Genomic DNA, 17,739 nt, shown 5'->3' on the forward strand with positions numbered 1-17,739 from the left:
CTCACATACTTTTCTCCTTTATCTTGTACTAAATAGTAAATCCTACCTATCCTCCAAAGCCCATTGTGGACAACACCTTCTGTGGCCAGAAGTAAGGGCTTTCTTCTTAGACCTCTCAGAGCCATTTGGCTTTCTCCCTCGGTGGCATTTGCCACAGTCTCACATGTTAACTATCTGAATGTGTCTCATCTCATCCCTTTGATTGAAAGTTTACTCATTAATGCTGGCATTAGCAACCAATCCTCACAGCAGTCCTGTGAGGAATTCTCCTGCTCATCTTGAAGATTAGGTTAGGAAACTACCATTTGGTGAGGTTAAGCAAGTTGCCTGTGAACATGGTATATTAAGTGCTGGATTCTGCACTGCTGGTCTCTTTGGCTGTAACTCTGATGCTGTCTCTTTAGTGCATCCCAATGCCCAGAAAATAAGAAGTGTTCAGTAAGAAAGTGTGGAGTTGATTTGCTCTTCCTCATTGACATTTAGTGTTGTGCCTTTAGGTGCTCAATAAATGCTTCATGAGTACATTAATAAAACCAAGACCTGAATATCAGATTTCATCAAATTGAAGACATGTCAATTGTAAGATTAACATTTCTTTTTATATGCCACTAAGGAAGATAAAAGCACTGCTAATTCAAATATGGCACAGTCTTATCACTTAACATATTTTCTGAATATTGAAAGAGTTATTTAGACTTATCTAGACATAGATTTGAATTATATATCACTGCTAAGAAAAGAAAATGGCTGAGTGCGGTGGCTCATACCTGTTATCCCAACACTTTGGGAGGCTGAGGCGGATAGATCACTTGAGCCCAGGAGGTTGAGACCAGCCTAAGCAACATGGTGAAACCTTGTCTCTACAAAAAATACAAAAATTATTCAAGCATGGTGGTGCATGCCTGTAGTCCCCGCTACTTAGGAGGCTGAGGTGGGAGGATCACCAGGGCCTGGGAGGTGGAGGTTAACAGTGAGCTGAAATCATGCCAGTGCACTCCAGCCTGGGTGACAGAGCCAGACCCTGTCTTAAAAAAAAAAAAAAAAAAAAGAAGGAAAATAAACACAAAATAAAATTAGTAGTAATTCTGCAAAAAAAAAAGGAAATTAGTCATTCTTAAAATGACAAATATTTATTAATTCCAAATTTACACCCTGCTTTCTTTCTGTATTCTTCTTCATTTTCATTTTGTAATCTTTTTAGACTATTTTGAAAAGTAGGTAAATTCGACATGTGTACTTACATACTTTGCATAACTAAGTTGAAGAGACCCCTGTATGAATATTGTCACCAAATCTGTAGCTGTGACATGACCATTACCTGACAGTGTAGCAGTGATTGTAAGATTCCATTGATTTTAAGATGCTTCTTGATTTCCAGAGATGGTAAAAATTTGAGAAAAAATATGCTCTTATAATTGATGACTTAAGTCTATGTATTTATTCCAGATTTCTTCTTTTAAAGGCTTTAAAAAGTGTAGCTTTCTTTTATAGTCTGTGTGGTTTTAATTATCTAGGAATTGATTAATCATTTTCTTGGCCTTGCTAATAACCTCAGTTCTCCACCATTGTGCCTTCTGATTGTTTCCTTGCTTGTCAGCTCTTTGACCAAAAAGTAGTGGTCTGGTGAAACAGTTAATAGATAATAGGAACCAAAGGCTAAAATGAAGCTTTGGTACACCAAGTTTATTGTATTCATATTTACCTTTTGTTATTCTCTAGTTGATAGGGTTGGTTATATCTGTTTTGACATAAAGGAAATTTAAAAGGTTAATAAGTTCCCTGACTGCTTTGGGTAAGAAAATATAAAGACTATCTTAAACAACTGCATTGCCTTGTGAATATATATACGTAATACTAAACCATACCTTCCCCCTTTTCCATACAGATCACGGTTGGGCTGCCAAATCTGTTTGACAAAATCTATGGACAATATGACTGTTCGAGTGCCTGAAACAGTGGCTGATGCCAGACAATCCATTGATGTGGGCAAGACCTCCTGAACTAGAACAAATAGGAATATTTTCATGGAATTTTACCTATTTTTATAATTATTATTTCTTAAAGTGATTAAATGAGAACATGGATGAGTGGACTTCATATTATGACTAGCTTTACTATTTTAATTCACCTTGCATAACTACTGAATTTTGTCATTCTTGAAAGTATGCAATTTTTATTTTGGTTATATTACAAAAATGTCAATCAAATATTAAAAAATAGTTAATGTGATAGAAAAACCTTACATATTTTTTTCTTATGTTTGTTTAGCGACTTTAGCAAAATGTTTTCATATAATCTCATCTGTTTACCTAGAAGATAGGTTAAGGAAATATATTATTATTCCTGTTTGATGTGGGTGAAGGCAGAGATCTAACCTGGCTTGTTTAGGGCCATACCACTAATTAGAAAATCTGTGCTAGAACCTGTGTCTTATTCCTATAAGCTATGTGTTCAGACTGAAACTGGAGAAATTATGACTATTTTATTTATAGTAGTAGTTAAATCTGAATGTGTATGGACAAAAATATTTAATTGCTCAGTAAACTGCTTAACTTCAAAGATAGTTATTGACCTTATAAATAAATATTTCAAAATTTTGATTCGGAAGACTAAGTCTGGACGTAGACATTATAATGCTATCAAAGAAGTTTGATCTCTGTTTTGACTAAACTAGAGGAAAAATGATTGGATGTGTTTATTCTTTTCTAAGCAGAATGGTTTAACTTTGTACTCTTTGAAAAATAATGCTGATTTATAAATCTCTGCCTATAACAGAATGGAAACCTTATGAATGAATTGTGTTTCTCTGTCCTGAGCTGGAGAAGGGAATGAGCAGGCTGACACGTTGCACAGCCCCAGGTGGCGCCATTCTCTCACGCAAGGATGGGGCTGCAGGGTGAGCAGCGTGGGCTGCAGTGTGTCAGTCCCAGGAGTGAGGGAGTGGCAAGCACCACAGATTACCACGTATGTGTGGAAGACATTCGTACTCTTATCTTTACTATAAATAAATTCATAAAAGTTAACAAAGGGGTACACAGTATGGTCTTTGGAAATATAATAAAACATCAACTAACTTGGACTAATTGTGAGGAAGAGCAGAACAAATTAGTAGAAAGAGGTTATAAGACAATTGAGTTAGCTTCATGTGTATTATTGCAGCTTGATCATTTATATAAATATTTGTCTAGTACAATGCTTGACATACAGCATTGTGTTATGCCCATTGGGGACACAGAGGTGAACAAGACAAGGAATGCCATCAGGGAATTCACCTTTTATTAGGAAAATATAAAATATGTATGTATGTGCAGATAATTTGCTTGAACTAAACTGACTAGTTCTGCTAAATAAGATTTTAAACTAATTCATATGTAAAAAGTGATTAGGAAGAACTTGAAGTATCATTTGATGCTTAATAACTATTGAGTAGTTTTTTTTTTTTTTTTTTGGTGGGGGGAGCGGGGGACAGGGTCTTACTCTGTCACTCAGGCCAGAGTACAATAGTATGATCTCGGCTCACTGCAACTTCTGCCTCCCAGTTTCAAGGGATTCTCGTGCCTCAGCCTCCCAGGTAGCTGGTACTACAGGCACGGACCACCACGCCTGGCTAATTTTTGTATTTTTTCTAGGGACAGGGTTTTACCACGTTGCCCAGGCTGGTCTTGAACTTTTGAGCTCGAGTGATCCACCCACCTCAGCCTCCCAAAATGCTGGGATTACAGATGTGAGCCACCGTGCTTGGCCATAACTATTGAATGCTTTCTATGTGGAGAGTGCTTGTCTTAATTTTCTGTTGCTATAATAGAATAACACAGACTGGGTAATTTATAAAGAAAAGAGATTTATTTGGATCATGGTTCTGGAGGCTGGGAGGTCCAAGAGCATGGTACCAGCATCTGCTTGGCATCTGGTGACAGCTTTCTTGCTGCATCATTACATGGTGGAAGGGCAAGAGAATGCGAGTGAGAGCAAGAGGGCAAAATGATTATCCTTTTATCAGGAGCCCACTTCTGACATAACTAACCCACACCTGAGATAACGGCATTAATCCATTCATGAGGTCTCTGCTCTTAAAGGAGATCACCTCTTAAAGGACCCACCTTTCAATGCCATTACACTGGCAATTTAATTTCAAGATGAGTTTTGGAGGGGACATTCAAACCATAGCAGTGCTATAATTTTAAAGTACTTCAAAGCCAATTTATTCTCTTAATTAGCTTCATTATTCTTGTCTTTGTGTGTGGATTACCTAAACTCTCCTTCCAGAGCTACTTTAATGATTATATTCAACCAAAGCACTCTAAAATTTAGAGTATAAATTGTCTTATATTTCAAATTAGAAAAGTTCAAATGAAGTTTAATTGTGTTATTTTATAAAACCTTCTAAAATTATTAAATGGAGGATATAATCTATAATTGGTTTGTATAAAGGTGATTTTTCAGTTTGAAAAAATCCTTCTGTATTTGATATATGTGTGTTGTAGGTAAATGTGTTGGTTTATCTATTGCTGCAAAACAAATTACCCCAAAACTTAGTAGCTTAAAACAAGAATCTTGTATTATTTCAGACAGTTCCTGTGAGTCAAGAATTTAGAGTACGGAGCAGGGATAGCTTGTCTCTGCTCCACAATGTATTAGGTCTTAAGCTAGATGACTCAAAGGCCAGGTTCTGGAATCATCTTCAGGCATATTCTTCATATGACTGGTGTCTGCTGTTGGCATCAGCTGGGGGGTCTAGGAGAAGATACTGGCTGGAACACCCACACGTGGCTTCTCTGTGTGGCCTGGACTTCCTCACAACCTGGCGCCTGGGTTCCAAGGGCAGGCATCCTCAGAAGAGCATGCATGCCAGGCAGAACTGGATCCTCTTTATGAGCTAGTTGTGGAAGTGACACAGTATCACTCCCAACTATTCTTTTCATTAGAAGTGAAGCACTAAGTCTGGCCCATCATCAGAAGGGAGGGGTTTCCAAGTATTTGGAGATATCAGAGTAACTGTTAACTTATTGGCCCCTTATCTCCTGTGAATATTGGCCTTTTAACTAACAGTGTTCTAAACTTAAGAGGAGCTAGCTTTTTCTCTTACATTTGAAAGATTCTTGTGTCTGCTTTATTATGATGGCTCACTTGTTTTATTCTATAACTCCCAACATTTTGCTTCTTGACTATTGATTTAAATGAAAGGAAAAAATAGCGGGCTCTCTTTCAATGCTGTGTAATTTTTTTTTTTTTTTACCTTTTGTAGTCATTTTTCCACCAAGAAAGGCATCTTCCTTTGGTATAGAGTTCTATGTAATTATTGGTTATGTGCTAATACTTAATATTGTATTTGGCTTTCACAGATAAAACCAACCTATAATTAAGTAATTCAGAACCACTGAATTTCTTAAGTGAGCTGTTCTAAGGAATTCTAAACCTTTTGCCTTTAACTGTGAAAATACTGTCTAATTTTTCTGTCTCAAAGGACAGCTTTCCAATTTTCTTACTAGCTATTTAAGTATCATATGATGATCCATGTGGTCACTGTAGTGGTCATTCAACAGTTACTAGAATGATTATATTTACTTGAAAAGTTGTTTTCTAGGAGAGACTTCGACTATTCATATGTTTCCCCATCTTTTCTTTTTCTTCTTTTTCACAAATCTTTTAATTGTTTTTCCTTCCTTAAACTACCTGAAATTTTGTGGTAAGCCACATTTTGGATCAGAATTTGTTAGATGGCTTTATTTATAGCACAACTTATTGTTCTATTACCCAAAAAAATAGGAATAATGTATTTTACATTACTAAAACTTTATAAAGTAAATAAACCATAGTAAGACATTCAAACATTACATATAAACTTTGTTTTCTATTAGAGAAATATTGAAGAGTAGAAATGTGATCTTGGTTAGGCAATGACAGGATTCTTTTAATGTGTCAGTATGTCACATGATATCAAGTTATTTTTATCAGATTTTTTTCTGTTTATAATTTCTAGAATCTGAAAAATTAGAAAACCAGCTGGCAGGAGGAAGGCATGATCAGTAGCAGGCACAAATACATGTGGCTATAATAGAACAGAAATGGGGAGTTAAAGGATAATTTAAATCTACCAGTAGCAGCTTCCAAGGGGAGTTGATAGAAAGGATCTCACGGTGAGGGGCATCACTGCCTCAGTGACTGTTAGTAGTAAACTATCTAATAGAGGTCTCTTTCCTTTTTCCTTTGACTCCCATTTGCTTATTATCTAAGATATTATTTGTCATGTAATTTTTAGACTTGATTTGATAGTAATACAAAATTAAGCAAGCAGAGCCTTTTGCCTTTCTGGCTCCCTTGCTTACTAGTCATTTCTGAAATCATCAGCACTCAGCTTGGTTTACCTCAGTGGCCTTTATCACTGTCTTGTCTGTCCCATTACTCTGCTTCAGGGCGCCCTTTAGAGCATTTACTACATATGGCATATGTAGCATGTACTCCATGTAGCAGTTAGCACATCAGCAGTTTTCATCATCAGTTTTTCCCTGATAGAATAGCATCTACTTTTTTTTTTTTTTGAGACAGAGTCTTGCTCTCTTGCCCAGGCTAGAGTGCAGTGGTGTGATCTGTGCTCACTGCAACCTCTGCCCCACTTGTTTCAAGCAATTCTTGGGCCTCAGCCTCCCAAGTAGCTGGGACTACAGGCGAATACCACCAAGCCTGGGTAATTTTTTGTATTTTTAGTAGAGACGGGGTTTCACCATGTTGGCCAGGCTGGTCTCGAACTCCTGACCTCAAGTGATCCACCCGCCTCAGCCTCCCAGAGTGCTGGGATTACAGGCCTAAGCCACCGTGCCTGGCCAGCGCTTACTCTTTTTACGAATAAGGACTTGGTTGGTGTTCAATTTTATAACTGCAATGTCTATCATAGTATTTAGCCCACAGTAGGTATATAGTAAGTGTTTGAATTAATCAAATCCTGATCTTACAAGGAATCTGCTTCTAGCATTTGGCTCTGGCAGTCACTTGTTATGGATGGGACTACGTAAGCTCAATACAGACCAATATACTGAGCTTGCATCCTAACTAAACAGGAGTCAGGTATTACATAGGAATGTTTTTTTAAAAAATGAGGTAATTTCCACTGCATTGAAAAGGACAGTGTTCAATTCATCAACTTTTTTTTTTTTTTTAACATATCTTGGAGGAAACCGCCTTCAAATGAGCTGAATACAGGTCCCTCTGCTAGTTTTGATCTTGTAGGTCAGTGGTTCTGAGGCATGAGTGCTAAAGGTCCTATAGGTGGCACATGGACTCCACCTTCCTGCATCACGTGTTTCCGTTGTGATCATTCCTCCAGATGAGTGCTCTTCCATCACTGGGAAGCACCTGGCCTCATGCATTTCTGATAGGCCTTGGTGATGTCTTACCAGTCTTAGGCTTCCCATGGATTCTAATGAGGATTCCTCAAGGTATGGGAAAGGGATAGGTGGTCCACAGAATATTCTCCCCAAGCAAGCAAGCCAAAGACTGAGAATTACAGAAAAACACTTTTCTTAGTATTTTTAAATTTTAATCTTTTTCTTTCATACAGCTTTATTTGTTTCTTATCTGAACTCTAAGGACTGAATGAGACTGAGAGAGACAGCAAAGTCAGCTCTCTTACGTAGTAGGGGAAAAGCATCAAATTTATCATTTAAAGACCTGGATACTGTTTAAAAATTATCTGAAAATTGGAAATGAAGAACTGCATGTCTCTTCAAAGTTGTATATAGAGGATTGTCTAACTGGGTCACTGAAGGATGACTTGATGTTTTATTAGGATGGGGGTTAACAAACTGTGTCGTAATACAGTTGTATGGGAACACAACCATGCTCATTCATTCCTTACTGTGAATAGTTGCTTTCATACTACAGCAGCAATGTTGAAGAGTTGTGACAATGACCACATGGCCTATAAGGCCTGGAATATTTGCTGTCTGGCTCTACGCAGTTTAAGTTTGCTGACCCCTGTGCAAACTTCGTCAAAGGTAACTTTGACTTAGTGCGTACTCTTGATTAGTACCCAAACTCTCTAAAGTTAGATATTAACTTAGAAAAAATTGATAAGTTTCAAAAAAAAATTTCTCTTTGGTAGGGAAGGTAACTCCAAGAGTTAACGGTTTTCTTGCCTTGAAGGGCGTTATCCAGTTTTGTATCTATCTCTGCAGTCTTATTTCCCATTGACATTCTTTTTTCCATTGACTGCATGTGTCAGTTTCTCATGTCCTGCTTTGAGCCACCCATTGTCATTCTGCAGGTCCCTTCATTAATGAATTAAATAAATCTTAGACACACGCTCACTATATATTCCAATGAGAGTGTTTATTGTATGGAGAATTATATGTTGTCTCCTTGAGGCTTGGCAGTGCCTCTTGAATGTAGTCATTTAACCCTCTTGGGCCTCAGGTAACTTCTCTGTTAAGTGGAAATAATTATCCCCAGTACCTTAGCCAAATTACTGTCTCACCCAAATAATAATTGGACATAGTTTTGTAATTTAAGTTAAAAGATGTTATGTTTATGAAAGAGTTTTGTTAGCTGCAAAGCGCTATTTGTTGGATATTGCTTCTTGAAAAAATACAGATCTTAGGTATTAAAGAATAGGTAGAAGCCTGTTAGGTATGAATTATGAACAGATATTCGATTCTTTGACTTCTCCATTCAGAATAGTTATTTTTAAAAAGCAAATATGTAAAGATCTTTCTGCTCTTAAGCCTAACCACTCATCTGATGAGTGTACTGAAAATAGAAGTGGTTTATTGCAATATGTCAGAGAAGTATTCTACTGATAACCACCCATACATGAAATCTTAAAGAAGTAGTTATGAGTTGGAAATTTCTAGGTTGTAATCAGAAGAGGGAGCAAATGACAGAATACAGCTGTGCATTGTTTGGAAGTGGGCTGGAAAGAATTCATTGCCTCTTTAATTGAAGAAAAGCAAAGAGTGACACTAATCAAAGTAAAAGAAGGGAAGTACTCATAGCTGAAAATGGAACTATAAATTGTTTGCTTTTTAGAGCAACATCAGTTCTTTGAAACCCATACAGTTCCTTATAATATTCCAAAACAAACTGCCATATGGAAACCTGTTTAGAAAGGAATAATAGCACTCTACCCTCCTCCCCAGCCACTAAATTGAAACATACGTGAAAATTTAATGTAGTTTTTTAATCAAGCTCAGAAAATTTTTTTTTTTTTTGAGACGGAGCCTCGCTCTGTCGCCCAGGCTGGAGTGCAGTGGCGCGATCTCAGCTCACTGCAAGCTCCGCCTCCCGGTTTCATGCCATTCTCTTGCCTCAGCCTCCCGAGTAGCTGGGACTACAGCTTGGCTAGTTTTTTTGTATTTTTGGTAAAGACAGGGTTCCACCGTGTTAGCCAGGATGGTCTCAATCTCTCCTGACCTCGTGATCCGCCCACCTTGGCCTCCCAAAGTGCTGGGATTACCAGCGTGAGCCACCGCGCCCAGCCCAGAAAAAAAATTTTTAACACACTTTTTGACAGTCTGATCTAATTTTTTGAAGTATGAACATTGGGTAGATCTTGCCCAGTAGATAAACCATTCTTTTTTATTTTATTTTGTTTTATTATTTTTGAGATGGAGTCTTGCTCTGTCACCCAGGCTGGAGTGCGTGGCACAATCTTGGCTCACTGCAACCTCCGACTCCCGGGTTCAAGCAATTCTCCTGCCTCAGCCTCCTGAGTAGCTGGGATTACAGGTGCGCACCACCACACCCAGCTAATTTTATTTTTAGTAGAGACGAGGTTTCACCATGTTAGCCAGGCTGGTCTTGCACTCCTGACCTCAGGTGATCCACCCGCCTTGGCCTCCCAGCTCATGCTGATATTACAGGCATAAGCCACCACACCTAGCCAAGAAACCATTCTTTGAACACAAGCAAATATACTTTGGAGAAAAATTTAATAATCCTGGCAGGGCTACATTCAACATAATTCTGTTATGGGGGAAGGCAGCATGCTTTGGCTGCTCAGTGAGCTATGTTCTGTACAACCAAGTGAAATTGCTAAAAAAAGATTCTCCTGTATACAGTAACTTAAAGTGATGCAGTCTACTTAAGATCAGATCTGAGTTACAAAATCAAAAGTGACAGCTCCTATGTTCTTTTAAAGTCCAATCTCTTTTTTTCATTGTTGTGCTCCAAATGCCTTGAGTACCTGATGTAGAGTAGGTGGCTAATAAATATTGGTTGAATTTCTTGAACGAATCTGTTATGAAAAGATCTACTTTGCTCATCTCTGTGCCCCAATAGCAGGAGCTTGAGGAGAAGGAGAAAATATTGGGTCAGAGCTTTTGATTAATATGTATGATTCTATTAAACGGGTTCACTAAACCAAAAAAGGCAAAGGAAAACAGTTAAACCAAGAGTTCTTGAGGTTAAAGTCTTGTGATGATTAAAATCATCATCCTAAGATGATGATGACATAAACTTTCAAGTATTTTCCTGTCTTTATTGCTTTTGTAAGTTGGTCAAACTCTTCAGTTCTTTTAAGAAGACTGCCAGAATTTACAAAACTGTTGATGTACACAGTGGAATGGACATACTTTGACCCAGCACCCACGTCTACCAGCCTCTCCTTGCATGTCCTGAGGTGCACTGCAAAGTGGCTATACTTGTGAGATATAGAGGTTTCTTTTATTTTAGAGGACAAAAGAGAGGGTCACCCTGGGAAGCTGACTTTCCTGGCTTTTCTTTCCTGCACCAGGGACTAAAACCTACGTCCAGCCATTGTGCCAGCTCTCAGTCAGCCAGCCTGTTACTTTTGGGCAGTACTCATTGCACAGTCTTGGAGCTCTTCTGCAACCCCGGTGAAACCCCATCATTTGGAGGCCATGGCCTCATCTTGATGTAGTTAAAGTACACACCTCAAAATGCCCATTATCAGGCTCAGAATCCATGCTGAGTGGCAGGATAACAGCTGATCACAAGGTATTAGTTATGAAACAACCTGTTGGCACTCTTCTGTCTCCATTATTACCCAACTTTTTAATGCTATAAGTCCAATTTTGTGGATCAACTACAGCCTACCAAGACAAAAGTTGTTTGGAGAGAGAGCAAAGGAAAAACTGAGCAGGAAATAAGTAAGCCAACAGTCATCACCTAATGCAACTGCACAGAAAGGCTGAAAAATATTTTAAGTCATTTCAAAATGTTTGTAGATATCAAAGAGACAAACCATCTGGGTGAAATATTCCATTACTCTTCTTTCTTTTGTAGGGGCATTAATATTGAACTGGAAAAATCTCACCCCTGCCGAAGTTAACATACTTTGTACTTAACACCTCATTCAAAACTCTCAAGCAAGTTAAGTTCTAATTAGTAATAAAACTTACAAGTGCATAGCCATTAATGTTTTTCTTTCAAACATTTGCCCATGAGGCTTGAAAAGGAGAGGAATCCCTCCCTGTCCCACTCATACTTCCTGCCAAAATATTAATTCCATTCTAGCTCCTCCCCTATGCCAGGAAAGTCATGCCCTCCTCATTCATGTCTTTTTTATATATTCTATCCAGGTGCTTTACCTTCTGCCCTAATTCTCTGGGGTGCTCTGCCTACCCTCTCTCCTTACCTGAGTCTACACTTTTCTTTGTCCTCTCCTTCGGGTAGTGCCTATGCTGCCTTCCTTTTCCAAGGTGTCTTCCATGCCTAGCCAAATACTGGCCTTGGATAGTTAGCAGGGGAGAGCTTATTGGTAGGACTCCTTAATCTCGAAAGAAATGATCAGTTTGGTCACCTGAAAAACCCAGACTGGAGATTGGGGACTATGATTTGATTGAGGAGGAGACATCCAAGAATGTTTAGGGTCAGTCTCTGAAGATCAGGTCACCTGTAAAGGCCATGAGGGACTGGCAAATGAGATTATGTCCCCTTGAGAGGAAGGAGGACTGGAGGGGACTGGAGCTGCTGTTTCACTCTAGCTTGCTATTTCCAAATAGCAGGGCAGGACACTATTTTCAGAATTTTAGAAAGAGAAGGCAGAATCTAAATTTTTTTTTTTTTTTTTTTTTTTTGATATGGAGTCTCGCTCTGTTGCCCAGGCTGGAGTGCAGTGGCGCAATCTCAGCTCACTGCAAACTCCGCCTCTATGGTTCACACCATTCTCTTGCCTCAGCCTCCTGAGTAGCTGGGACTACAGGTGCCCACCACCACGCCCAGCTAATTTTTTGTATTTTTAGTAGAGCCAGGGTTTCACCGTGTTAGCCAGGATGGTCTCAATCTCCTGACTTCGTGATCCACCCACCTCGGCCTCCCTAAGTGCTGGGATTACAGGTGTGAGCCACCGCTCCCGGCCACCGGAACCTAAATTTTGATGTGAAATCTGATTTTTATATGTTCGCAAGGATTTTAAGTAGTTTCAGTTTGTTTTTAATATTACATGGGAGGAATAAAACATCCATGACAGATACAATGGGCTGCAACCTCTGGTCTAGAGGATCCCTTGGGAGGGGGTTAGTTGAGTCCTAATTTTTAAAATTTTTATTTGTTTTATTTTATTTTTTTTAATTAGAGACAAAGTCTTGCTGAGTGGCCCAGGCTGGAATGCAGTGATGCAATCATGACTCACTGCAGCCTTGACCTCCTGGGCTCAAATGATCCTCCTACCTCAGCCTCCTGAGTAGGTGGGGCAGGTGGGGCTACAGACATGTGCCACCATGCCCAGCTAATTTTTGTATTTCTTGTGGAGATGGGGTCTCACTATGTTGCTCAGGCTGGTCTCAAACTCCTGGGCTCAATTGACTTTCCGGCCTCAGCCTTGCATAGCATTGGGATTACAGGTGTGAGCCACTGTGCCCAGTCTTGATTCCTAATTATTAGGACTTTGGTTGTACTCAGTGGGCTCTGAAATGTCAACAGGGGTCTTGGGTGAGTTTGAATTTCAAGGAACCTCAAAATTGATTATTTACCTCCTAAGGGATTCTCTGGTCTTAGGAGGCTGGCCAGACCTGGAGTGAACCCTGTAGGTTGACCATGGACTGGAACAGACCACCTAGTCTCTCTCTAGGTTATATGCCTGATTCTAAGGGGGCCTCTAGGCTACACAGGTTTCTGAAGGGTCTATGTCCCCTCCTGTTATCATGTGGAAAGGGCCAGGTGTGCCATCTAAGCTTAAGTCGTTAGGGAATTCTCTCTCCCTCAAAAACATTTTAAATAATCTCCCTGAGTCTTCCTTTAATTGGCCTTCTAAATCTTTAATAAGCCTGGATTAAAACCACCCTCCATTAGGATGATCAATCTGAAAACAAATTAGATCAATTCCACAAGTCCAAGCCCCTTCGTATAGCACATGAGAGATGCCGAGCCCTATAGCTTACGTTCTGATAATACAAACCTCCTTGTGTTCCCTGAATATGTCATGCTGTTTCATAACTCTGCATTTGCTTAGGCTGAGCTCTGACTGGAGCTCCCTCCTGCTCTGTCTTGGCCCAGCTCACTCAGTTATCTTTCAAGATGTCTCTGGGAAGTGTTCTCTGAACTTTCAGCTGGGATTATATGTCTCCCCGCTTTTTGGGACCTCCCCCCGCCGGCCACAGGATATAGTTCCATCTTAGCCTTTGCCATGTTATAGTATATTGAGCCTGGTGGTGGGTGATTGTCTCTGCCGGTAAGCTGTAAGCACATCCTGTGTACCATCCAGCACAGAGCATGGAGTCTGACACCCAGTAGTCAGTCTATAATACCAAAATATTGGAAAGCAGAGAAGGTGCCTTCATGCTGCAGGGACAAGCCACATGAACACTTTTAAAAAAAGGAAACAGAGTCTGGACACCTCAAACTCAGGAAGGAGTTATAGTGTGGGTAAAGAGGCCTAGGCAACATTATTTGTCCCTGGTTTGGACATGCCCTTTGTCTTGAAGCCCGTTAACTGTGTTTTGTATTTACTGACAGTTCAAGTTTTTCTCTTTTTTTTTTTCATACTTTGGAAGGGCAGAGACATCTGATCTAATACCATCTGTGACCAAGGGAGGGAAGGTGGGAGGAAGGAAGAGAATATCCATTTATTCACTTAATATTTCTGGAGCATCTGCTAGGTGCTGAGGATTCAGCAAGGACAAAACAAATGAATTCCTGCCTTTGCAGCTTCCTCTCCAGTGTGTGGGGGAATAGAAAATGAATAACAATAGACAGTTCCTTAGGTAGTGATAAGTGCTATGGAGAATGTAAAGCAGAGAAAAATGATACAGGTGTTGAGGGTGGGGAGCAAGGAGCTGCAGATTTTGAATGGGGTGGTCTCTGAGGTGGATGCCACAGGAAGGCATGCTCCGGGAGATGGCCTGGGAGGGCAGGGGAGCAGCAGGAAGGGTGGTCAGGAAGGTGAATGAGCAGGCAAGGGGAGTTTGCAGATGGTGCAGGCCCTGTAGGCCAGGGCAAGGGCTCAGCTTTTACTTCCATGGGATAGAAGCTACTGGAAGGTTTTGATAAAAGCAGTTCAGTGCTCTGACTTACCATATGTCCAGCACTGTGCTAGGTATTCACACAAATGACCTTATTTAATTTTGTAAAGTACCCTGCAAGATACATGGTTTTATCATCATTTTGCAAGTGAGGACTTAACACAGACCTTCTCCAAGATCAAATATGTAGAAACATGGGGAGCCAGGAAGACTTAACCTCTGTAAGGCCTAGCTTTGACCTCTGTAAAATAGGAATGATGCCTATAAACCCTATGCAATTCTGAAAATCAAATGATAATGTAAATAAAGAGAGTAGCAAAGTACTTGAGGAACTCAATAAACGTCAGTTTCCTTCTTTGTTCCAAGGCCACACACACAATAGCAAAGTGAACACTGGTTAGAAGATCTGCTCCATCTTCAGTGAACTCAGAGTAGGCACATCCATTGCACTTAATAGATTTTTGTTTCTTCCCTCCTTTCCCCTCCTCCTGTCTCTGGGTCCAGTTTCCTTATCTATATATTGAGACTATTGGTCTGCTCTCCAAGGCAATTTCCAGTTATAAAGTTCTTTATTGCTTCGACATTGTCTTAGCTGTTTGGTACACACCTTTCCTAATAGCTAGCAGAGGGTGATGCACACCGTGGGAACTTCATCAATCCCCAGTGATGATCTGAGAGGTGTTATGATAGAACAGGTTAAATGCCAGTGTCCTCTTCAGGTTTGACTGGGTCAGTGATCTTGTCAAAGGGGCATGATGAAGTGCCCCAAGGAGGTTCCTAGAGTTTCCGAAAATGGATGCAAAGTATGAAATGTCAATGCTTCTCCAGTGATGCTGGAGCACTTCTGCCTCTCGGATGTCATTCTTATTACTTTATAATTACCTTCTGACCTTTACTGACTCTGACAGTTGTGAGTCTTTAAAAAAAGGATTCAAGAATATTATCATTAATGCAGTTGCCTAGAAACAGGGCCTAAAATACATCTGGCTTTAATAGAAGAGCTAAAATGAGTTTTCATTTTTTGGCATTGTCTCTCTTTCTCCTTTCTCTTTTCTCTCCTCCCTCCCCCAACTTTTTCTTTGTATTAACCAAGAATTGCAATAGAATTTTTCACTAATCCTTTCTGAACTGTCCAGAGCCAAGGTACCCAAAATAGAGAGCATTTTTCCATCATAGGAAGCTTTAGCAACACTAACTGGGCATTATGAAATCTAATCCCTAGCCCACTTACACAGCAGGTATAGAATCTGTATTGTCAAATCACTCATCGCGCTCTCTGTAAGGAAGCTTTGCCAGTACTCATAAAGATGCTAGAAGAAGGAGATTCTATTGAGATTCTATTTATCTCTTCATCAAGGCATGTTCTAGAACACTATGCCAAATGGCTACAACTGTGATTTTCTGACCCATAAACATTTCCGTTCACCACTTTAATGTCTCCTCCCAGATGTACCCTCTTGCTTTCCTCTGTCCTTTTTATCATTGCAATGTTCAGTCAGTCTGTAGCTAGCGCACCTTGCAAACACAGCCCTTATCATCTGATAAAAAGAAAAGAGAAAACAGTAAAAAAGAGCAATAGAATATATTCCATTTTTTTCTATGTCTGTTATTAGATTTCTGCTTGTGGAAATACACTGATTTGCAAAAATGCTTCTGGTGGCAAAGGTTACATCAGCCTTACTAGGTCAAGAGGCCTAGAAGTCTGCTGGCCAGGTCAGCACAGCACCCTCTACTCACCATGCAGGTGCTTATGGAGGTTTAGGGAAGTGGAGTTCTGTAAGGGGAGGGGGCCTCCAGGGATCAAGGCACTCACCGTTCAGAACTGCTCCAGAATTAATTTCCATGGCCGGCATCACTCCCAGGCTGTTTCCAAACTTGCCTGATCATAAGAACCATCTGAGGGCTTGTTAAAAGTACTGATTCAAAGCCTCTTTTCTGAAGATTCTGATTCTGTAGATCTGGTATAGAACTTGGGGAACAGCTTTTAACAAGTACCCTGGTGGTTCATGTCAGGCAAGTTTAGGAAACAGACCAACAGTAGAGTCCAGGCACCTTTCAACTGCAGACAGGGCTTTCTGTGGTCTTGCTGCAGATTCCACTGTTAGCTCCAGACACACACTGGTTTGTGCTGCCCTGTCACACAACTCCAGGCCTTGACTCCTTGCTATGCACACTGCCTAGTGGCTGTCTGCCGTCTTCAACAGTCTTCCCCACGTCTTAGGACAGTGCAGGCATTGTTTCCTTGTGTTTCTGGAACACCTGCTCTTGCTTCTAACAAAAGAACAGCACTTAAGTTTATTACAATTATTGGTTTACCTTCTGTGATCCCATTTTCTGCTTTATACTTTTCATAGGATGTTTACCCCATACTCCTCAATTTGAATGAAAGCGCTGGGAAGGGGGACTCTGCCTGGACTAAGCTGTGTCCCAGGCTTCTACAAGAGGCCCTGGCCTACAGTAGGTGCTCAGTAGATATTTGTGAATTAAATTCTGTCTGTGGCACTAGACTGCGAGCCAGTCTTTAATCTCTGCAATCCTAGCACCTTGCTCAGTGTCTGTCACTCTAATGATAGTTGGATGAATCACTGAGATATTTGACTTCATAACCAGGTTTCGGTCCACTCAGCGCTCTTAGTGAGGAAGAATTAGGCAAATACAACCCTGAAAGGGAAAAAAGGAGCCAAATGGGGGAACAGCATGGAAACCTGGAAAAGAGCAGAGGAAACAGACACATAGAGACTGGACAATGGTGGGGACCAGGGGAAGTTGTCTTAGTCCTGATGGTAAGAAAGGTATCAAGAAGGGGATAATTGTTGATTGTTTCTAAACAACTCAATTCTTGTTGGTAGTTTCCAAAGACAGCCCAGAGATCACCCAGGGCCATCTCCACAACCTGCCCTCCCCTTGAAATGGCTCTGCACACAGTCTAACCCAGAGAGAGCATTAACCCAGTACCATGGTTAGGAGGGCGGATTCTAGAGTCAGAGGACCAGGTCTCCAATCCTAGTCCCACGCCTGACTGACTTTTTCCTGGGGCAAAACGTTCAAATCCCCTACTACCCCAGCCTCCTCATCTGTAAAAGGCTGTATGTACTAATGGTACCTGATCCTAGGGCTGTTGTGATAAATATGGTAATCCACACAAGGTGCTTAACACTGTGGCTGGCACCTAGTAAGTGATTAGTTGTGGCCTGTGTGGCACGCACTCTGCTGGGAACTGGGTATGTATGAAATAGCTAAGGGGCCAAGTGCATAGACTTCGGAATGAGATACATATGGCCTGGATTGGGAGCTCAGGGAAGTACTTAGCCTCTCTGAATCTCAC

The 17,739-nt window shown here is 40.4% G+C and overlaps 1 protein-coding gene across 2 annotated transcripts in view; it reads left to right on the forward strand.

Moving 5' to 3' along the window:
* The window catches only part of FDX1 (ferredoxin 1), a 35,554-nt gene extending 31,138 nt beyond the window's left edge, over positions 1-4,416 (forward strand). For both annotated transcript variants that reach the window (XM_047426566.1, NM_004109.5), the window contains exon 4: positions 1,886-4,416. In XM_047426566.1, the coding sequence (XP_047282522.1) occupies positions 1,886-2,000 (115 nt within the window). In that variant the 3' untranslated portion in view covers positions 2,001-4,416. The remainder of the gene's footprint in view (positions 1-1,885) is intronic.
* The last annotated feature ends 13,323 nt before the right edge of the window (positions 4,417-17,739 follow it).

The sequence above is a fragment of the Homo sapiens genome, chromosome 11 (genome assembly GCF_000001405.40).
Source record: "Homo sapiens chromosome 11, GRCh38.p14 Primary Assembly".
Taxonomy (NCBI): domain Eukaryota; kingdom Metazoa; phylum Chordata; class Mammalia; order Primates; family Hominidae; genus Homo; species Homo sapiens.